General features: G+C 52.1%; 1 annotated feature.

Moving 5' to 3' along the window:
- Window positions 10,507-11,007: an enhancer, noted in NCBI's record as "NANOG-H3K4me1 hESC enhancer chr9:133420171-133420671 (GRCh37/hg19 assembly coordinates)". NCBI's record gives its function as "activates a minimal SCP1, AML or CMV promoter by ChIP-STARR-seq in primed H9 embryonic stem cells {active_cell/tissue: H9 hESC(primed)}" and the evidence as "EXISTENCE:reporter gene assay evidence [ECO:0000049][PMID:30033119]".

The following is a 23,032-nucleotide window of genomic DNA, read 5'->3' as shown; positions in this document are numbered from 1 at the left end:
GATTCTGTCTAAAAAAAAGAAAAAAGAAAAAAAAGGCTAATCTCTATACTAAGCACTCAGCTACAAACACTGCATGTGTGCATCTCGGTTACTCCTCACACTGACGCTGGGAGGCAGGACCATTAGTATCCCCATTTTATAGCTAAGGAAACCAAGGCTGGGAGAGATTAGGGACTCACAGTTAGTGAGTGGCTGAGACAAACACCTGGGTGCAGGCAGTGTGGGTGAGGGGCAGAGAGACCAGGAGGGGAGGAGAGCCAATCGAGGATGCCCTGCCAGCAGCTGGGGTGGGGGAAGTTTTAAAATGGCCACAAATTCCCATGAAGAGGTAGAGTCTACACCCCCTTCCATTGAATCTGGGTGGACTTGTGACAACTTCAGCCAATATAGCAAAGCAAACGTGACAGTGTGTAACTTCCATCCCTGATGAGGTCATAAAAGGCAATGCAGCTTCCTGCCTTGTCCACTGGAGCCCCTGAGCTGCCCTATTGGAAATCTGACTACTGGAGGCCGCCATGCAGTGAGGAAGCCCAAGCTACGTGACGAGGCCATGTGTGGGCACTTCAGTCATCTGCCCCAGCTGAGCTGAGGATTCAGACCATCCCAGCTTAGTGCCTGGCATTCAGGGAAAGATGCCACCACAGGGTTTTTTTTATCTCTAGGCATTGAAGTTGCCCGCCAACCATTCCAGTATTCCCAGCTGGATTCTCAGACACTGCGGGGCAGAGCCAAGCGTTCCCCCGTGTGCTTGGTCTGAATTTTGGATCTGTAAATCCGCAGGCATAGTAAAATGGTTGCTACAATAGTCCTTGGAACAGGGTGCAACTAGGGCTCAGTTTTTGTGGGGGACCTCTGAGCTACTGTGTGGGGGCACCCCTAAGAACTGCCCACCTCCTCCCTCTCACTGATTGAGGGTCACTCCTGGGACACTAATTTGCTGGCATTTCGGGCTGGCCCCTCATGTGGGCCATGCATGCCTGCCCCAGGCAGAGAAGGGAAGGAACCCCCCGCCGAGCAGGCATGGGACCTATCTTGTGGATAACCTCCGGAGGTGGCTAAGCTGGTAGGGTCGGGTGAAACAGAGGCTGCACAGGGATGAGGTCAGGGTTTGAACCCTGCATCCCCTGCCTCAATGGAGCCCAGTGTTGCCTTTGAACTTCTCTGGGGACAATGAGAGGCCCCAGAAACCCAGATAGGGGAGAAGACTCCGGACTCAGGTCAGAGTGGTTTTGGGACATCTTTTTTTTTTTTTTTTTTTTTTTGAGACAAGGTCTTGCTCTGTCACCCAGGCTAGAGTGCAGTGGTGCTGTCTTGGCTCACTGCAGCCTCGACTTCCTGGGCTCAAGAGATGCTCCTTCCTCAGCCCCCACCCCAACACCGAGTAGCTGGGATTACAGGTGCCTGCCACCACAACCAGCTAATTTTCAAAATTTTTTTTCTTTTTTTTAGATGGAGTCTTGCCCTGTCGCCCAGGCTGGAGTGCAATGGCACTATCTCGGCTCACTGCAACCTCCGCCTCCCGGGTTCAAGCAATTCTCCTGCCTCAGCCTCCCAAGTAGCTAGGATTACATGTGCGTGCCACCACACCAGGCTAATTTTTTGTATCTTTAGTAGAGACGGGGTTTCACCATGTTGGCCAGGCTGGTCTCGAACTCCTGACCTCATGATCCACCCGCCTCGGCCTCCCAAAGTGCTGGGATTACAGGCTTGAGCCACAGCCCCCAGCCGAATTTTTATATTTTTTGTATAGATGGGGTTTCACCATGTTGCCCCGGCTGGTCTCAAACTCCTGGGCTTAAGTGATCCACCAGCCTCGGCCTCCCAAAGTGCTGGGATTACAGGCATGAGCCTTTACACCTGACCCTGTGACATGTATCAATGCTCAAGGACCAGGCGGTCCACCAGCACATCCTGGGGCCTCCCTTTTCCCATCCATGGCCGGTCAGTATCTATTCCAATCCCTGCCTAAGCAGAAAGCAGGAAGCAGACCAAGGTCATATTCCAGGATATGCTTTGCATATTTGCCCCATGTCTGTCTCCCCTACCAAACCAGAGCCTCCTGGTGGGACAGGAGTGGGGGCTTCCATTCCTGGGGACCCTCCTGGTGCCCAGCTAGCAGCCCTGCCTCTAGCATCCAGCTGGCAGTTCTCTGCCTGTCTTGTTCACCTCTGCAGTTGTGACACCCTACTCTCTGTAAGTGCTCTGTAAATTCTTTTCAGCAGGCTGGGCGTGGTGGCTCACGCCTGTAATCCCAGCACTTTGAGAGGCCAAGGCGGGTGGATGATCACCTGAGGTCGGGAGTTCAAGATGAGCCTGACCAACATGGAGAAACCCCATCTCTACTAAAAATACAAGATTAGCTGGACGTGGTGGTGCATGCCTGTAATCCCAGCTACTCGGGAGGCTGAGGCAGAAGAATCGCTTGAATCTGGGAGGCAGAGGTTGCAGTGAGTCGAGATCATGCCATTGTATTCCAGCCTGGGCAACAAGAGCAAAACTCCGTCTCAAAAAAAAAAAAAAGAGAAAAATTCTTTTCAGCAAAGGATGAAGTAGGTGCTTGACTGTTTCACATGTGAATAAATAAATGTATGAGTAAATAAATACAGACTTCTCTGAGGCAGCCCAGCCCACACAACCTCTCCTTCTCTCTGGAGGTCTCCACATTTAATGCCTACAAAGAAGGCAAGTCTATCCATTTATTCTCTGGTTTATCTGACGTGGCCTTGGCTTTACCTCTGAGCCGGAAGGTACCTCAACAGCAGCGCCAGCTTCTACACCAGATGAATAATTACAGAAACTCAGTAGTTCCCATTTTTATCTTCCTCCAATGCTTTCCAGGTGAACGTGCTGAAAAAATTTTCCAGTTTCTTTCAAAATGAGTTTTTTTTTTTTTTTTGAGATGGAGTCTCGCTCTGTCACCCAGGCTGAAGTGCAGCAGTGTGATCTCAGCTCACTGCAACCTTCGCCTCCCGGGTTCAAGCCATTCTCCTGCCTCAGGCTCCCAAGTAGCTGGGACTACAGGCGCCTGCCACCACGCCTGGCTAATTTTTTGTATTTTTAGTAGAGATGGGGTTTCACCATGTAGGCCAGGATGGTCTCAAACTCCTGACCTCAAGTGATGCTCCCGCCTCGGCCTCCCAAAGTGCTAGGATTACAGGTGTGAGTCACTGCACCCAGCTGAACTCTTGTAAACCTAATTTGGCTAAAGTTTTTCTTTTAACACTTGCTAAGGTAGTCGGCGTATGCTAAGGAACACGCTACCCACAGAGAGTAAGTCTCCCCGAGGGCTCGGCCCAGCGCTGGGTGCTTGGAGAGCCCCCGGTAGTGATCTGTCATCATTGTCCCACAGCTCCCTCCCGCTAAACCCCAAGGGTCTTGTACCTGCTGGGTGTTCAGTAAATGCCGGATGCCTCATTGCCCTGTGTCTGGAGTTGGGGCCAGTGTTCCCATCCCAGAACTTCAGTCTCTAAACACTGGCTCCTGTTGGTCTCCTGTCATGAAATACTGTGGCTAGTGGCTCTTGGGCTCCATGGCCTTCCTCCTCGCTGTAGCTGCAGCCTCAGCCCCGCCTCCAACCCCAGTGTGAAAAAGACATTCCACTTCCCCCACAGGGATCCTCAGCCTGTGGTGATGCCCCAGACCCTACGTTCAGATTTCTTACGCAGGGGTCTGAGGAGCCCTCCTAGGATTTGGCTTCAGAGGGCCGGAGAATCACCTAAGTGCCATCATCTGGATGGTGCTACACTGCCTCCTCTGTCTAAATTTCTGTGCAAGTACCAGTACCACAAAAATTTGCACCTGCTAGACAGCCGTGCCTTCCTAACATTTAGAAGCTCCTTGGGGAACAGCTGTGTGACTTTGGATGCACACCTTAACCTCTTTAAGCCTGTTTCCTGCTTTACCAATCCTGGGCCCGGCCTGCTGGTTATGATATACAGCAGGTGCTCAGCCATGGGGTCAGGGCTCGGCCCACCCTTCTCGTGAGTCTTGAGAGCCAAGGAGCTACTTCTGAGATCATATCTCAGTGGGCAGCGTGGATTTGATTCAGGGAAGCCATGCCTCACCGAGCCCCGCGCTCTATGTGGAGGCTGGAAGTCACTCGGCTGGGAAATCGCTTGTCCTCAAGCCTCAAGCCCGAGCCCACTCACGGAGCTGAGCTACCGCGAGGGAAATTGCCCTAAATGTGAATCCACCTACGAGCCCGGGGAAAGTGACTATGATGCTCATGAGCGAATTGCGGTAGCCCTTCCGTGCACAATGTTTCAGCTTGTCTGCCTTCCAATCACTCCTAAATAATATGTTTTATCTGGTGTGACTGCTCGCTGGGGCCCTGCTCCACCCGGCACTAGCAGCCAAAGCACGACATTTAAAATCACGTCTGCTTTTCATTCATAATGAACAAAATAGGTCTCAGACTCCCACAGCCGGCCACCGGGCACTGAGGAACCACCGTCTCCAAGAAGGCTTTGGGTCACTGACAGGGCTGTCGCTGAGCTGGCACCAGCGTGAGCCAGAAACCTGTGCCATCTGCCTGAAAGAAGGGATGAACAAGGCCGGGCGCGGTGGCTCACGCCATAATCCCAGCACTTTGGGAGGCTGAGGTGGGCAGATCACCTGAGGTCAGGAGTTTGAGACCAGCCTGGCCAACATGATGAGACCCCCATCTCTACTAAAAATACAAAAATTAGCCGGGCATGGTGGCACACACCTGTAATCCCAGCTACTCAGGAGGCTGAGGCAGGAGAATGGCTTGAACCCGGGAGGCAGAGTTTGCAGTGAGCCAAGATTGCACCACTGCACTCCAGCCTGGGCGACAGAGTAAAACTCCACCTCAAAAAAATAAAAATAAAAATAAAAATAAGAAGGGATGAACACAGTGGCCGGGTGGCTGGATGGCACAGCCTCACAGAGAGGCCCTGGGTTCAAATCCTCCCTCCTCCACTTCTGGGCAGTTTGACTTTCAGCACGTTGCTCGTCCTTCCTCTTTGTGCCTCATTTCCTCATCTGTGCAAGAGATAGTAAAGTCTTTGCCAACCAATGGCTCCCCCAGGCTTCTTCCCAGCAAGAAACCAGTCAGGGGAGTTCCTGGTTTGCCCCCTTTTTATGACATTGACTTCAAATATCAGCTTCTGGCCAGGCACAGTGGCTCACATCCCAGCACTTTGGGGGGCTGAGGTAGGAGGATCACTTGAGCCCAGGAGTTTGAGACCAGCCTGGGCAACACAGCAAAACTTCATCTCTACATAAAACACAAAAAATTAGTTGGGCGTGGTGGAACACACTTGTATTCCCAGCTACCCAGGAGGCTGAAGCAGGAGGATTGCTTGAGCCCAGGAGGTCAAGGCTGCAGTGAGCCGCCATGATCATTGCACTCCAGCTTGGGTGACAGAGTGAGACTCTGTCTCAAATTTTCAAAAATGTCAGCTTCTTAAAAACATTTTTTTTTTTTTTTTTGGCCAGGCATGGTGGCTCATGCCTGTAATCCCAGCACTTTGGGAGGCCGAGGCAGGCAGATCAGCTAAGGTCAGGAGAATGTCCAAGACTACCCTGGCCAACATGGTGAAACCCCGTATCTACTAAAAATACAAAAATTAGCTGGGCATGGTGGTAGGCACCTGTAATCCCAGCTACTAGGGAGGCTGAGGCAGGAGAAACGCTTGAACTCAGGAGGCAGAGGTTGCAATGAGCCGAGATCGCACCACTGCACTCCAGCCTGGGTGGCAGAGCAAGACTCCATCTCAAAAAAAAAAAAAGTTTTGTTTTTTTTTTTTCCCGTATCTCAGTCATGGCATCAAAATCCATCTTCTGTAGGTGTATACCTATGTCCATAGCAGTATGACTCACATAGCAAAAAGGTGGAAGCAACCCAGTGTTCACTGATGGATGAACGGATGAATGATATGTGGTCCATCCATACAAAGGAATATGATTTTCGGCCTTAAAAAGGAAGGAAATTCTGACACATGAACCTTAAAGACATTATACTAAATGACATGTCACACATAAAATGACAAATACTATGACCTCACTAACGTGAGGTCTTTGGAGTTATAAAATTTATAGAGATAGGCCAGGCATGGTGGCTCATGCCTGTAATCCCAGCACTTTTGGAGGCCAAGAAAATGCCAGATTGGTTATAGCTTGGTGTTTGCCTTATTTGAACACGGTTTGAACAGTGGGCCACATTTGATTGGCCAAAACTTGGTGATTGGTACGAGTGTAGGCTACTGTCTGTTTATAATTCCATTTAGGTTATACTTTATGATGTACAGAGAAACCTTTAGGCTGAACTTAAAATATGTAAGGAGGCAGCTTTAGGCTAACTTGGTTTAACACAAGTAATCCCACAGTAAGAGCTTGTTTCCTGCTCACATCACAGTCCAGTATGAGGAGAAGTGTTGGGTATGGGATCTGCTCCATGAAGTCATGCACGGACCCAGGGTCCAGAGCATGAAGGATGGTGCAGGATGTTTTAGGAGCCAGGACCAGAAGTGGTGACATCACTTCCTCCTTATCTTTCATTGGCCAGAACTCAGTCACATGGCCCTACCTGCTTGCAAGGGATCCTGGGAAATGCAGTCTAGTTGTGTACCTGGGAGGAAAAGGAGACCTTTTGATGAAAAGCAGCCAGGACTCGCCGCTGGTAGGAACCATTAGTATTTCTTTCTTTCTTTCTTTTTTCTTTGAGACAGGGCTTCACTCCTGTTGACCTGGCTGGAGTGTGATGGCACGATCTTGGTTCACTGCAACCTCCTCTTCCCAGGCCCAAACAATTGATTCTCCTGCCTCAGCCTCCTGAGTAGCTGGGACTACAGATGCGTGCCATCATGACCAGCTAATTTTTGTATTTTTTGTACAGACGGTGCTTCGCCATGTTGCTCAAGCTGGTCTTGAACTCCTGAGCTCAACTGATCTGCCCACCTCGGCCTCCCAAAGTGCTGGGATTACAGGCATGAGCCACTGCACCTGGCCAACCATTAGTATTACAAGTAATGACAAAACCCAGAATTACTTTTGCACCAACTTAATATTTCGATTTTGCAGGTGAGGAAACTGAGGCTTGGAGAAGTTCAGTGGCCCAGCTGGGAGGGGGTAGTTCTGGAGTTCAGCTTCAGGCTCTCTGACTCCGGAGAGCATGCCCTTAACCACTGGGCTACGCTGCCTCTCTGGAAGTGAGTGCTGAATTGGATAAATAGGTATTGAATGCCCATTGGGGCCCTCATGGGGGCAGCATGTATGTTTTCAGAGTGAGGAGGTCAGATCCAAACTTCCTGGGTTGTGTCCTCAACTCTGCCTCTTACCAGCAGTGGGATTTTGGGCAGGTCAGGTGACCGCTCTGTGCCACAGTTTTCCCTTCTGTAAAATGCGGACAATAAAGTACCTATCACACAGTGCTGCTGTGAGAATCCATACAGAGCCCTGGGGGCAGGGCCTGGCAGATGGCAATTGGACCATTCGCAGTGTGGTTTTATGGCAGACACTGGGGACACAGGAGTGACCCAGCCTGACTCCTCCCAGGTAATGTCACTCACTGGTCAGACTCCTCCACTCCTAGAGAAGAGTCCTGGCCTTTTCTAAGCCTGTCCCTTCTCTCTCCCAGGGACGGCAGGGGCAGGGGAAGAAAGCAGGGCAACATAGTAAAGCCACTTCCTTCTTTAACCCGGTGTCTGAGGGATTTTGTCCACGGCTCATCCTGCTACAATAGGAGACAGCCAAGCTGATCTCACTGGGAACCCACTTGGACCAAGGAGGAGGTACACTGAGAAGCAGGGGCCCAGTTCTCTACCTTGTCCATGGGAGCCCTCGTTTGGTGATGCCAGCCCCAAGGTGACTGCTTCTCCTTCTGCCTCTGTCCCAGTGTGGACGTGTTGTCGCTCACCTCCTCATTTAAACAGCACTTGCTGGCCGAGCGTGGTGGCTCACACCTGTAATCCCAGCACTTTGGGAGGCTGAAGCAGGCCTGAGGTCAGGAGTTCGAGACCAACCTGGCCAATATGGTGAAACACCGCCTCTACTAAAAATACAAAAATTAGCTGGGTTTGGTGGTGCACGCCTGTAATCCCAGCTACTCAGGAGCCTGAGGCAGGAGAATTGCTGGAACCCGGGAGGCAGAGGTTTCAGTGAGCCAAGATTGCGCCACTGCACTCTAGCCTGGGTGACAGAGTGAGACTCTGTCTCAAATCAAACAAACCAAATAAAACAAGCAAACAAAAAAAAAATCCAGTGGCTTCTCAGCGGGGAGGGGCTGGTACCTCTGGCTCCTGCCACCTGCCCGCAGCTCCTCCTCCAGTCCTTGATCCCGTTTTCTGAACACCAGCGTGCTCCATGAGGGCCGTTAACCAAGGAGAAAGAGCTGAGAAACCAGGTGCTGATGGGCCCGTTTTGTCACTCAACAAACTGGTCAAGGAGGTCCATGAGGAGCAGGCCCTGTCCTGGGCCCCAAAACCCACAGGTGAGTAAAGCCAGGCCCATCCCCAGAGAGTGCTAGAAGGAGTGGGAGAGAGAGTGGGAAGGGGAGCCAGGAATGGGAGGAGAAAGGTGTCTCAGCCCTTCTGCTGCTTTCTCTGTAACCAGGGTGTGCCTTTTACAAAGCGCATCTCATCCCATCTCTTTCCTGCTTGAAATCCCTGCATGGGCCGGGCGCGATGGCTCATGCCTGTAATCCCAGCACTTTGAGAGGCTGAGGGGGACCGATCATGAGGTCAGGAGTTTGAGACCAGCCTGGCCAACATGGCAAAACCCTGTCTCTACTAAAAATACAATAAATTACCCGGGTGTGGTGGCAGGTGCCTGTAATCCCAGCTACTCGGGAGGCTGAGGCAGGAGAATCGTTTGAACCTGGGAGGTGGAGGTTGCAGTGAGCCGATTGCGCCACAGCACTCCAGCCTGGCTAGGCAACAGAGCCAGACTCTGTCTCAAAAAAAAAGAAAAGAAAAAAAGAAATCCCTCTATGGATGTCCTCCCCCACTCTCCACCGCCCTGCAGGTAATGTCCCCGATTCTACATACTCCACCCCAACTGCTGCCACTTTCAAACTCCATGCACCCGCCTTGCTCAATTACAGCAATTCTCAGACATGCTGTTTGGTGTCTCCACGTGTGTTCGTTTGCTAGGGCTGCTGTCATAAAGTACACCTGCTGGGGGCTTAAACAGCAGAGCTTTCTTGTCTCGCAGTTCTGAGATCTACAGGATCTGAGATCAAGGTGTTGGCGGAGTTGGTTTCTTCTGAGGGCAGTGAGGGAGAGTCTGTTCCCTGCCTCTCCCCAAGCCCCAAGCTTCTGGTGGTTTGCTGGCCATCTTTGGCATTCCTTGACTTGTGAAGGCATCATCCTGATCTCTGCCTTCATCTCCACACAGTTTTCTGCCTCCGTGTGTGTGTCTGTGTCCAAATCCACCCACCCCCCCTTTTTATTGGAGACAGGATCTCACTCTGTTGCACAGGCTGGAGGGCAGTGGCGCGATCTTGGCTCACTGCAACCTCTGCTGCCTGGGTTCAAGCGATTCTCCAGCCTCAGCCTCCCAAGTAGCTGGGATTACAGGTGTGTGCTACCATGCCCGGCTAATTTTTGTATTTTTTAAGTAGAGACAGCATCCATTTGCTTGTGAAAAGCTGGGGCACCACTCCTCGGCGAAGACTTTATCTTCATCTGCTTCTGCAGCTCTAACAAAATACCTCAGACTGGGTAATTTATAAAACATAGAAATGTACTTTCCATAGTTCTGGAGGCTGAGAAGTCCAAGTTCTGGTGCTGGCATCTGGTGAAGGCCTTCTTTTTTTTTTTTTTTTAATATTTGTTTTGTGTAGAGATAGAGTCTCTACACGAGAGACCTGTGTAGAATGTGGACCGGCTGATCTCAAACTCCTGGGCGCAAGCGTTCTTCCTGCCTCAGCCTGCTGAGTAGCTGGGACTACAAGCATTTAGTTGGCTGCCTTTATGCTCAGCTAATTTTTAAGATTTTTTTTCTTTTTTTGAGATAAGGTCTCTCTCTGTTACCCAGGCTGGAGTGCCACGGTGCAGTCACAGCTCACTGCGGCCTCCACCTCCTGGGCTCAAGTGATCCTCCTGCCTCGGCCTCCCAAAGTGCTGGAACTATAGGTGTGAGCTACCACGCCTGGCTTGGTGAGGGCCTTCTTGCTGCATCCTCACACGGTAGAAGGCAGGAGGGCAAAAGGGCGTGATCCTCCTCTGTCAAGCCCCTTTACAGAAGGGCACCTCCCTTCACAAGGGAGGAGCCCTCGTGGCCTCGTCACCTCTTAATGGCCCCACTTCCTGATACTGCCACATTGGCAACACCTGAATCTTGGAGGAGACCCATTCAAATTATGGCAGAGGCTGGGTGTGGTGGCTCACGCTTGTAATCCCAGCACTTTGGGAGACCAAGGTGGGTGGATCACCTGAGGTCAGGAGTTCGAGACCAGCCTGGCCAACATGGTGAAACCCCTTCTCTACAAAAAATACAAAAATCAGCTGGGCATGGTGGCGGGTGCCTGCAATCCCAGCTACTCTGGAGGCTGAGGAAAGTTAATCGCTTGAACTCAGGAGGCGGATGTTGCAGTGAGCTGAGATCGCGCCATTGCACTCCAGCCTGGGCAACAAGAGTGAAACTCCGTCTCCAAAAAACAAAAAACAATAAAAACCATAGAAGACCTCTCAGTAGCTGGGCTAGAAGGGCCCGTCCCTCCCCTGTGCCCCCCTGTCCTTGCACAGTGCTGACCAGCACATCATCAGATACTCTGCACCGTCCGCCTGCCTTTTTGTCTCCTAGAGCCCACTAGGTTGTCATCTCCTCAGGGGCAAGGATTGTGTCTTACTCACCTCGGTGTGCCCAGCAGCTTGGCAGGGCCAGCTCATAGGAGATGGCCCTGGACTGAAGCCCATGGAATGAATGCACTGAGGAGGCAAGAAAGATGAGGCAAAAGGTAGAATAGCTGAGGCTGGGCGCGGTGGCTCACGCCTGTAATCCCAGCACTTTGGGAGGCCGAGGCGGGAGGATTATTTGAGTCCAGGAGTTCAGGACCCGCCTGGGCAATAGAGTGAGACCTTGTCTCTACACAAACAAATTACACAATTTTTTAAAAGATGGAAAAGCTCCTCTGGATCTCGCCTGCCCCGGAACTTCCCTTTGGTAGGGAAATGAGCATGGTTCCCACGGCTCTCCTAGAACCTCAAGACTCTTTTGAAGTCTGGATTTTCCCCAGTGGGTGGTCGATGGCGGCTGGCAGCTTGGGACCAGGAAGAGAGAGGTGGGAGTCCCAGGGGCTCAGGCGGGTGGAGGTGGGAGCGTGCAGGAGGGGGTGCAGGCGGGGTGGGAGCCAGAAACCAACAGCGCCAGGCCCAGCCTTCCTCAGGAGCAAACCACAGTCCTTAAACACTCCCCAAACACACTGATGATGTAAATCTGGTTTTAAAATAATAACAATAATGAGAAATAAAAAGAGTGAGCAGATGCAAGAGGGAGGGAAAGGGGGCTCTGCCAGGCCCCCTCCCCAAGGGGGAAAGCACGTGGAAAAATTGAAATTAGTTGTGACAGCTGAAATTCTCTACTCTACAGTCGACATTTTGACAGGGTACTTAAAAAAATAATAAGAAAAGGGAAAGTGGTTTGGGTCACCCAAGGAAGGGGGAGAATGGGGGATTTCAAGTGACACAAGACGCATAATTCAAGCTTCTTAGATTGCAAAAGCTCTTCTTACCTAAGGGGCCTGCTGCCTTTATTTTTATCCAAATGGCTCAATTACCGCAAAGCCCCACAGAGAAAATTACGGATGTTTGCCTCTATTTTTCTCCTCTTGTCTCGACAACTGTAGATATTTTGTTTTCCTTCTTTCTCTCTCGCTCTCTCTCTCTCTTTTTTTTTGGTGGTTGGTGGGGTGAAGAGAGAAGGGGGGTGTTCAGATGGGCTCAGGGGCCAGGGGCTTTTGAATTGCTCCTCAAAGCCCGCATCACACACACACACACACACACACACACACACACACACACACACACACCCCTCCCACAATCCTAGGCCACACACCACAACTGGTCTTTTTTGTGCGTCCGTTTTGACATTTGTCCTTTCTGTCTTCTGCTGTTCCTTTCCTCCCCTCCGCTCCCCTCCAGTCTCTCCTCTTACTTCCTGCAGCAGCAGCAGCAGCAGCAGCAGCTTTGGGCCTCTCCTCTGCCCAGCGGGCACCCCTCCTAGCAGCTCTCGTCTCATCTCAGCTATTTCCAAACCCTACAATAGACACAGGGAGGCACGGAGGTACCCATTTTCCAACCTTCTTATTGGCTCTCCGTTTGTCATTTTCAGAATTGGCACTCTGGGGAGCCAGGGCTGGAGGCTGCAGCTCTCACTCTTGCCCGCTCTGCCAGATGAGGGGTCCCAGCCTAGCAACCTGCCACAGGCTCCAGAATGGTCTCTGGGAGCACTAGGACTGGGAGGAATGGTGTCTGAGCATGAGGTCCTGGGCCTCGATGCTGGGGACATGCAGAGGAGGGGGCTCCTGCCAGTCCGAGTTACCTCTTATGCACCACTCTCCATCCCACCGTCCTGGCCTCTGTGCCATCCTCATCCACCTCTGCCCTGGGTAGTGCCATCCACTACCTCCCTGCCCCCCTTGGGCCCCTCCCACCAGGCCACACCCCTCCCTTGCTTAGAACCTCCATGACTCATCGACCTTGGGATACAACCCCTCATTGGCCTCGGATCAAACCCAAATCTCTCCCCATGGCCCACAGGGCCCTGTGGACCAGCCCCACCTCCTCTCCAGCTTCATCACGAATTCTCTCTCCCAACTCACAGCTCCCTCCTGCCTTGGGCCTTGCAGCTGTAGGTCCTCCCCTGCCCTGCTCTCTCTCTCTCTCTCTCTCTCTCTCTCTCTCGCTCGCTCCACCCACTTAACCCTCACTGAGCATCACTGAACCGTCACCTCCTCAAGCAGCCTTCCCCACCCATCAGGTCAGGCTTTCATAGCACCTGCATGGGGACAGGGAACAGCCAATCAGAGCCCAGCTGCAGGATCCTGGAGGCCATGGTGAGGCAGGTGCAGCAGGACCCAGGTGAGGGAAATGGACACAGGAAGCATCCAATGTTTATTGAGTTTACTCTATTTTTTTGAGATGGGGTCTTGCTATGTTGCCCAGCCTGGAGTGAAGTGACCCAATCATGGCTCACTGCAGGCTTGAACTCCTGGGCTCAAGGAATCCTCATGTCTCAGCTTCCTGAGTAGCTGGGACTCCAGTTGTGTTTTAATCACCATGGCTGCCAGTGGCCATCAGCCTGTCTATCCCTGTCCGTGTGCCTCCACCCCCCAGTAATTCTCAATTTGGTGGCAGGCACCTCCACTAGCCTGCAAGCCCCCACCCCACCTCACAAGTTTGTAGCTATAAAGGGCACACATCATAGGTGCTCAATAAATAGCTGGTGATGGATGCAAAAGCCCTGGGACCAGGCCCTTTCTGGGGACCACTAAATTCTATGCCCACCAGCCCCCACCTATGTTGCACCTGCAGGCGCCTTAGCTACAGGCAGCTGCCAACAGAGCAAGAAAACCAGTGCGGTGCATGGCATTGGTGGGGCCCCTGGCATTGTGGTTTACTTCAAAGGCTTCTGAGGCAAAGGGCTGGGTACAAATTCCAAGCTCAGTGCTCTCTTGCTGGGTGATTTTGGCCAATGCGTCCAGCTCCTCCGAGCCTCAGTGCCCTCACTTGTAAATGAGGGAGATATTGGGTTTGAGGGGGACTAATGTATGTACATTGCTGAACGCCTTGTGTCTTGAGCCTGCATGATTATTGAATTAGCTATATTTATTGTCCTCTTGCCTTCCAGAGTCAAGAGGGATCCCTGTTTGCCCCTCGAATCCATCATGCACTCAACAACCATTTCTGCATTCACTGGGTACATATTTTATGGAGTTTCTATCATTTTCCAGGTATGGAGATACAGCAGTGAATGACTCAGATGGAAAGCCTGCCCCTGACAGCTGCCATTCTGAGGGATCCACTTCCTGCAATGTCTCACTGACTCCTCCCACGGCTCTTGGCAGTAGAGACTATTATTGTCCCCATCTTACAGCTGGAGAAACTGAGGCTCAGAAGACTTGATCAATTTCCCCAAGATCATTCACTTACTGGCAGAACCAGGACTTGAACTCAAGCCCTTGGGATGCCAGAACCTGAACTTTCAACTTCTGATCTTTTTTTTTTTTTTTTTTTTTAATTGAGATGGAGTTTCACTTTATTGCCTAGGCTGGTCTCGAACTCCTGGGCTCAAGCAATCCTCTCACCTCAGACTCCCAAGGTGCTGGGATTACACACATGAGCCAACACACCTGGCCTCAACTGCTAATCTATAATGGTAATGCTTCTCCAGAAAGATTTTTCATTTTTTTCTTTTTCTTTTCTTTTGAGACGGAGTCTCGCTCTGTCACCCAGGCTGGAGTGCAGTGGTGTGATCTTGGCTCACTGCAACCTCTGCCTCCCGGGTTCAAGCAATTCTCCTGCTTCAGCCTCCTGAGTAGCTGGGATTACAGGCACCTGCCACCACGCCTGGCTAATTTTTGTATTTTTAGTAGAGACGGGGTTCACCATCTTGGCCAGGCTGGTCTTGAACTCCTGACCTCATGACCCACCCGCCTTGGCCTCCCAAAGTGCTGGGATTACAGGCGTGAACCATCGCGCCCGGCCCAGAGAAACTTTTCTAAGTGCATTTCAGATTGGGTCATTTCTTTGCATAATCCTCCTCAGTGGCCTCCAAACTCCTAGGCTCAGCCCAAGGGTTCTGCAAGTCTGACCCCACCTTCATCTGCTGCCTCCTGTGTGCCTTGAGCCCCATCACCCTGGCTGGGTGTCTCCTTCCAGCCACACTGGTCCTTCCCGTCCCCAGACCGATCTGCTCTCTCTTACCTCCAAGCCTTGGCATGTGCTGTTCCTTGTGCCCAGAACACCCTTCCCTTCCTCTTTGCATGGCTAATCCTCCTCCTTCAGGTCTTGGCTAGACTTCCCCTCCCCAGGAATGAGCTCCCTGAGGCTGTGAAGCAGCCCCACCTTCATGCTCCCCCATGCGGGGCTTGCCAGTCACAAGGGGACTCATGACCTGTTTCTCCTCTAGCCTGTGAGTTCCCCCAGGCTGGTGCCTGCTTCTGCCTTTTTCAAATTTATACTCCAAGCACACTGCAGGAGCTCAACACTTACTTGCTAAAGGAGCAGATTAAAGAAAAATTGTAGAACCTGCTCTCCTGGCCCCCTCGTTTCACCCTAGCTGCAGAAGTGAGCAGTAGTCACGTTTTTCATGACAAATGAAGATGGGCGCTCCTTCCTTCCTCCCTCCCTCCCTTCCTCCCTTCTCTCTCTCTTTCTTTTTTTCTCTCTCTTTCCCTCCCTCCCTCCCTCCCTCCCTCCCTCCCTTCCTTCTTCCTCTCTCTTCCTCTTTCTTTCTCTCTCTCTCTTTCTGATGGAGTCTCACTCTGTCACCCAGGCTGCAGTGCAGTGGTGCAATCTTGGCTCACTGCAACCTCCGCCTCCCAGCTTCAAGCGATTCTCCCGCCTCAGTCTCCCCAGCAGCCGGGATTACAGGTACCCGCCCACACGCCTGGCTAATTTTTGTACTTTTAGTGGAGATGGGGTTTCACCATGTTGGCCAGGCTGGTCTTGAACTTGACCAAGTTTCAAAGGCTGCATAAGAGTTAACCCAGTGGAAAGTAAGTGGAAAGCACCGAAGAGGAGGCAACAGCCTGTGATCAAGCCAAAGCTGTGAATCAGTTGTGGTGGGAGAACCACTGGCCATTCTGAGTGGAAGGTGCAGGTACACACAGAGCAGGGCAGAGAGGTAGGGGAGAGGGCTGGCCAGCTGGCGGCACCATGGTGTGCCTTATACGCTCTAACCAAGCATTTGGACCTGAGCTTTAGGCCAGTGGTTCAAACTGAGCTCCCTGGAATCCTCAGAGCCCCACTGGCACCTGGAGGAAGGTGAACCAGAGGGAGGGAACGGACGAGATGATGCAGGTTCTGCACCCAGCCCCACCCCAGGTCTCAGGGAAGCTGCACTTTCATTGGTTGTTCATTTAGATTTTCAGTGTAAGATTTCATTTGAAGGGTTTGCAGCAAATGCATTGGAAACTGCTCCTGCAAGCTGGGAGAAGTCTTAAGCCAGAAGTGACATGACCAGCATTTTATGATTCATTTGTTCTTCAAAAAACTTGGCAGAGGCCGGGCACGGTGACTCATGCCTGTAATCCCAGCACTTTGGGAGGCTGAAGCGGGTGGATCACCTGAGGTCAGGAGTTTGAGACCAGCCTGGCCATGATGGTGAAACTCCATCTCTACTAAAAATACAAAAATTAGCTGGGCGTAGCGATGGGCACCTGTAATCCCAGCTACTTGGGAGGCTGAGGCAGGAGAATCGCTTGAACTCAGGAGGCAGAGATTGCAGTGAGCCGAGACCGTGTCACTGCACTCCAGCCTGGGTGACAGAGAGAGACTCTGTCTCAAAAAAAAAAAAAAAAAAAAAGAAAGTAACATGGTCAAGCATCAGCCCAGGACGATGACACTGTCCTTCCTGTCCCAGGCATTCCTTGCTGAGAGCATTTGTCCCCCGCCCTGTGCCACTACTGAGCTGTACAAGGAAGCAATCCCCTGTAGCAGCTCAGAACTCAAGCCTCGGTCTCAGAGACTCAGGTTCAATTCTTGACTCTCAGCTCACCCATCGTGGTTCCTTGGGCAATTGTGTATAAACTCAGTTTCTGTACCTGAAAAGTCAAGCTAATAACAACACCCACCTCCCGTCGTCAAGGTGAGGATCACACAAGATCATTGGTGCCAGAGGCTTGGCGTGGTGTCCAGCACATGCAATCCACAGCACCTGCCCTCCCTGTAGGCAGCTGCGAGGTCCCTCTCAGGAACAATATGTGCTAGGGATGGGGATACAAAAACAGAGCTGTAGGTCTGCCCGTGGGGACCTTACAGTCCAGGCGGGGGAGCAGGAGTCTACACACCAGGCAGAAAAATAACGAAAAACCAATGAAACGCAGGCAGAAGGGGATGAATCCAGATGGCCAGATCCTGTGTCTTGGCTCAAAGTAGAGGCTCAATAAATGTTTGTTGAAATGAAAAGGATTGCTGGGCATGGTGGTTCATGCCTGTCAGCACTTTGAGAGGCCGAGGCAGGTGGATCGCTTGAGCTCAGGAGTTTGAGACCAGCCCAAGTAACATGGCAAAACCCTGTCTCCACAAAAAAATACAAAAATTAGCCAGGCATGGTGGCACACACCTTTCGTTCTAGCTACTCAGGAGGCTAAGGTGGGAGGATCAAGATTGCTTGAGCCCGTGAGGTCGAGGCTGCAGTGAGCCATGATTGCAAGCCATTGTACAAAAAGGAAAGAAAGAAAGGAAAAAGAAATGAAAAGAATTGAAGTCAGTGGACAGAAAGATCGCCCTGGGCTGTGGGAGTCTAGGAAGCCTATTGGGGGAGCAAGAACCTGAGCTGGCATTTAGGCAGTGGGCAAGATGTTGGTGGCTGAGGGCTGGGGGCAGGTGGGGAGCACCCCAGTTTTATAAAGAGGGGGCCTCCTTATCCCAACCCTGCTACAAACTACTGCAGGCTGCTTAAAAACAACCTCACTGTTTTTCCCCTCGTTCTACCTTTCTGCGTTGTCTGGATGTTTTTGGTAATGAGCGTGTGTTACTTTAAAAACCAGAAAAAGCAATTAAGTTATTTTCATTGGCAAGATTTAAAAAAAAAAAAAACATTCACAGACACAAAGGATGGTTAAAATAAAGTTCACACAGAAAAAAACAGAAGAGGGATCAGGAGCAAAACCGAAGAGGGAGGTAATTATATCAGGAACCCTGGAAGAGGAAGAGTGAGATATTTTGATGAATGATTCACCCTGACTTACAGCCTCCAAGATGAGGCCAAAAGGGAAATTGGGAGGGGTGGAAGATGGGGTAAAAAAGGATGCACGCTTTGCAGGGAGGAGAGGATTGAGGGCCGTGGGGGAATCATGATGGCAACTCTGGTTTGCCGAGCACTTATCTAAGCCGAGCACCCTGCTGAAACATTTCCATGCTGTTCTGGGGAGGATGTTATCTCTGCCCACACCGTGCAGATGAGCGTCGCATCCGAGGTCTGGAAGCGGGAAGTGGCCGCTCAGACCTCTGAACCCACACGTGCTAGTGCTAGCTGTGCCCACGGCTCTCCCTCCTCTGCCGCAGGGGCAGGAGGAGGCTGCAGCATAGGCCAGCGGACAGAGCCGTCCTCAAGCGCTGTTGTAGGAGTGCAAGAACTCGCCACCCTCGAGACCGCCGGCCTGAACACTGCAAGCTGCTGCCTGAGCCTCTCTGATGGAGTCCCGATACAGCGCAGCGACAGTTGAGCCCAGAGATGGCAGGGTACATGTGTGACAGAGGGGACAGGCCATGGAGCTTAACCCCTGCCTCTCCAGTGGGGCCAGCGAGGAAAGGGGCCTGTGGAGCCCGGGCAGGAGCACTGGTTCGGCCGTCTCATCCTTGTCCCTCTGAGGGAGGGTCTGTCGCTTTTGCCATCCAGGCTGGGCTGTTGGAACAGGGTAGGAAGAGTGTCTTTTCTGCTCTTGAACCCTGACCACCAGCTTCTTCTCCATCTAAAACCAGGAAGGGTCTTTAAAAAAGGTACCTGGCTGCTCCCCTCCCTCCATGGCTCCCTATGCCCTCAGGATAAAGCCAAGCTCCTTACCACAGTCTACTGGGTCCTTCTCACCTGGCCCTGGCCACTTCTCTGTCTCCTCCCTTGGGACTCCACTCACGCTGGCCTTCTTTCTGGTCCTCCAATTCAGCTCTGCCTCAGGACTCTTACATATGCTGTTCACTGGCCCCTGCCTGTGCCCACACCCTAGTCTGGTGAGGTTCTTATCTTTCTGATCTCAGCTTAGCTCACCCTAGTTTCCAAGTCTGGGCCAGGGGCTGCCCTGTTATGAGCCCCAGCAACCCTGTCTTGTGCTGACTGGCTCCAAGGACTAACCAGGCACCACCTCACCTTGTGCTAATCATGACAGGCGCTGCTGGTATCTCGTTTTCCTGATGAGGAAACACACTCAGAGAGCCTGAGGCTACAGGTCAAAAGGCAGAGCTGGGATTTGAACCCAGGTCTGTCGGAAGCTCCCAGTGCGTAACAACAGGCAGCCTTTGGGAACTGGAAGAGACCCCAGAAGCCACAGTCCAACCCGCTTATGGGGTGGGTGGGGAAACTGAGGCCCAGAGATGGCCAGTGACTCCCAGGGAGCTGGCAGAGAATCCTGCCCACCTGGCTCCCCAACCCGGCCCCCCAGGCGCGAGTTCCTTGCCTCCCCGCCCTCCACCCAGTGAGCAGAGCTGCGTCTTCTCTCCTTGCAGAGCCTTGCGGTGCAGAGGTACGGGAGGGAGGCAATGGCTGGGCCGGGCACCCTCCCCAGGAGCCAGGCTCTGGCTGGGGGAGTGGAGGGGCCTCCAGCTTCCTTCCCCACCCCTCCCCTAGCCCTGCTGGCAGCTGCTTAGCTCAATTAGCCAACAAGTGGCTGTTTTGTGGAGTTACTGCTGATGTGTTTTAAGTGGCTTTCTGAGTGGGAAATGTTCGGGAGGAGAATCAGGCAGACAAAGGGGCGCGAGTGCATTAGGTTTTATCGCTCTGTTTTGTACACGTCTGACATCACTCTTCAAAGCAAGTTCTGTTCGGCCCTGGGAGAATGATAAAGAGACAAGTGGGAGGGAGTGCAGGCAGGCAGACACGCACGCTCTCTCCCCAGCTCGCTCTCTCCCCTGCTCCCTTGCACGCATGCCATCCATCCCGTCCTCCAAGTGGAGGCATAATGGCCGGAGACGCTGGAGCAAACTGTCCGACAGATGGGGCCTGCCCTGCTCCGGAGGGGAGGCTCGGCTGCAAATAAAGTCTTCAGGTGAAATAGAATAACTGAAGTAGCCAACGATTGTGCGGTGAGAGGGTAATGCGTCTGCCTCTCGCTAATGGCTGCACAGTTGCCAGAGAATGAAACCTCTTCTGATCACGCAGGCGATCCAAGGACAAAAGTCAGCGAGGGAGATGGCAGAGAGAGCGGGGAGGACGGAGCCCCCCAGCTTCATTCCCCACCCCCACCCTCGGGCTGAGGCTTGGACAAAGGGCCCATCCCCGCCTCCAGCTGCTCACTCAGGGCTTCGGCTCCAGGTTTGGTAAAAAGTAATGAGCAGGAAAGTAGCTACCTTTGAGGGGGCACTGGAGAGGATGCTGGGGGTGGGGGGCAGGGGTCCTGGGAGGAGGGAAGACTGGCGTAGGCAATGGTCACGCAGGGTGGATGGCGAGAGATGGTCTGAAGGTACAACGGCTTTCCTTTTGCCTCAATGCAACGCAGTCATCTTCAGGAGCCCCCTTTCTCTCCAGCCCTCGGTTTCTGTTTCCTTAAAAGGAGGAGCTTTGCTTTAACCTGTTGCCCATCTGCTTGTCCGTCCATCCACCCTTCCAAATAGTCATTCGTTTGGTAAGTTTTTGTCTTTTTTTTTTTTTTTTTTTTTTTGAGACAGAGTCTCACTCTGTTGCCCAGGCTGGAATGCAGTGGCATGATCTGGGCTCACTGCGGCCTCACCTCCCAGGTTCAAGTGATTCTCCTGCCTCAGCCTCCTGAGTAGCTGAGATAACAGACATGTGCCACCCCACCCAGCTAAGTTTTGTATTTTTAGTAGAGATAGGGTTTCCCCATGTTAGCTAGGCTGGTCTCAAACTCCTGACCTCAAGTGATCTGTCTGCCTCGGCCTCTCAAAGTGCTGGGATTACAGGTGTGAGCCACCACACCCTGCCATAAGTATTTTATTTATACATTTATTTACTTATTCTGGTGATTCATGAATTGGGCAGCCCCCAGACCAGAATAGGTTGAGAGAGACTCCCAGTATTTTTTGTAAAAAGGTTAAAAATATTTGTTTTTTGCTGTGCATGCACTTCCGGGCACTGAAGTTGACACACACTTTCCTGCTTCCCTTTCTTCGTTCATGGTGAGCTCTCCCCCCTGGAAACCTCCATTCTTCCATCTTCACTTAGTGAAATTGTATCCACTTTCAAAGCCCATTCTGCGTGCTAGCTCCTGGGCGCCACTTGTTCAGATGTACTCATCTCTGTCTGAGTTATATATCATTTGATTTAATAAGTATCTTTTGAGCATCAGTTATGGGTTAGGTCTTCTGCTAGGGGCTGAGAATACTGAGGTGAACGAGAAGCTCCCAGGTTAGCACGGGGGATAGACAGTGAATGAAAAATCCCAGAAATCATCATTCATTACAGCCTTGACACTGCTCTGAGGGGAAGTCACACAAGCCTGTAACAGGCCTCACGCTGGCTGGAAGGTCTGGAGGTCTCCTGGAGGCAGAGACCCTATGGGTGGGGAGACTGTTGGGGGAGGGGGATGAGGGGCCCCGGAACACTGAGCCCTGAAGGAGGCCGAGCCCCAGGTGGGCAGAGAGAGAGGGAAAGGAGGAGTCTGGGTAACAGAACAGGGAGAAGGTTCTGGGACATCCAGGCAATGGCTCTCACCTGTAATCCCAGCACTTTTGGAGGCCGAGTGAGCAGATCACTTGAGGTCAGGAGTTTGAGACCAGTTTGGACAATATGATGAAACTCTGTTTCTTTTTCTTTTTTTTTTTTTTTTTGAGACGGAGTGGAGTCTCGCTCTGTTGCCAGGCTGGAGTGCAGTGGCGCGATCTCGGCTCACTGAAGCCTCTGCCTCCTGGGTTCAAGTGATTCTCCTCCCTGAGCTTCCCAAGTAGCTGGGACTACAGGCGCGCGCCTTCACGCCCAGTTAATTTTTGTATTTTTAGTAGAGACGGGGTTTCACCATGTTGGCCAGGATGGTCTCAATCTCTTGACCTCGTGATCTGCCTGCCTCGGCCTCCCAAAGTATTGGGATTACAGGCTTGAGCCACCGCACCCGGCCACCCTGTTTCTACTAAAAATATGAAAAAAAAATTAGCGGTGTATGGTGGCACACGCCTGTAATCCCAGGTACTCAGGAGGGTGAGGCAGGAGAATCTCTTGAACCCGGGAAGTGGAGGTTGCTGTAAGCCGAGATGGCGCCACTGCATTCCAGCCTGGGCGACAGAGCAAGACTCCGTCTAAAAAAAAAAAAGGAAGGTTCTGAGGTGGGAAGGGACCCCTGAGGGGCAGGAGGGACCACAGCCAGGGCCAGTGAGGCCACAAGAGGCTGGGCGCAGGAGTGAGACCAAGAGAGGTCTCTGTTCTGCAAGTCGTAGTCACAAGCATTGGTGGTCCCAAAGGCCATCCTTGCTCGGATAGGGGAGAAAGATGCTCTTTTAAAAAAAAAAATTTGTTTTAACCAAAGGCAAGTCTTTCATTGAACTTCTTGCACCCCTCATCCACCCCCACCCAGCCCCAGTGCTGGCTCTTCCCCATTGTCCATCCCTGCAGCACCTGTTCAGGGGCTGGAGGACAGGAGGGACACACATAGCGGGAAGAAGGAGCAAGAGACAGAGACAAACCTTGTGCAGCAGACGGGGCAGACCACTGGGCAATGGGGGGCACCTGGGAAAGACGCGTGTCTCCTTCATGGCTCCCCTCGGGAAAGGAGTGGAGAATGCTTTCAACATGGAGAATGCCTTCTCCCCCTCCAGTAAAAGGTATGTCTTTTTGGGGTTTTCTCATTGCAATGGTAATGCACACCTGCTGTAAGAAAAAGCCAAGCGTCTATTAACTGGTTTTCAAAAGGAGAAAAAAGGAAAAGCCAAGTGTCTCGGAAATCAACAGGCCAGAACTTTGGAGCCCTCCTGGCTCCTGTCTTCCTCCCACCCCCAGGTCCAGTTGATGGGCTCCACCTTTGGAGTGGCTTCCGCTCTGACACTGACAGCCACCTCCACCCTCGGCTCTGACCCGAGCCCCCACCACAGATCTAACAGGCTCTTCACTCAGCAGCCAGCGGGGCCCTTTATCAATGGCAGGGCAGGGCACTCCTCTGCCCAAACCATTTGGTGTCTTCACTTTGCTTGGAGCAAAAGCCAAACCCTCCTCTCAGCCCTCAGGGACCTGTGTGATCCGCTCCCAC

Source organism: Homo sapiens, chromosome 9 (assembly GCF_000001405.40).
Source record: "Homo sapiens chromosome 9, GRCh38.p14 Primary Assembly".
Classification (NCBI taxonomy): Eukaryota; Metazoa; Chordata; class Mammalia; order Primates; family Hominidae; genus Homo; species Homo sapiens.
Note: the sequence above shows the minus strand (reverse complement) of the source record. Positions and strands in the feature narration are given on the sequence as shown.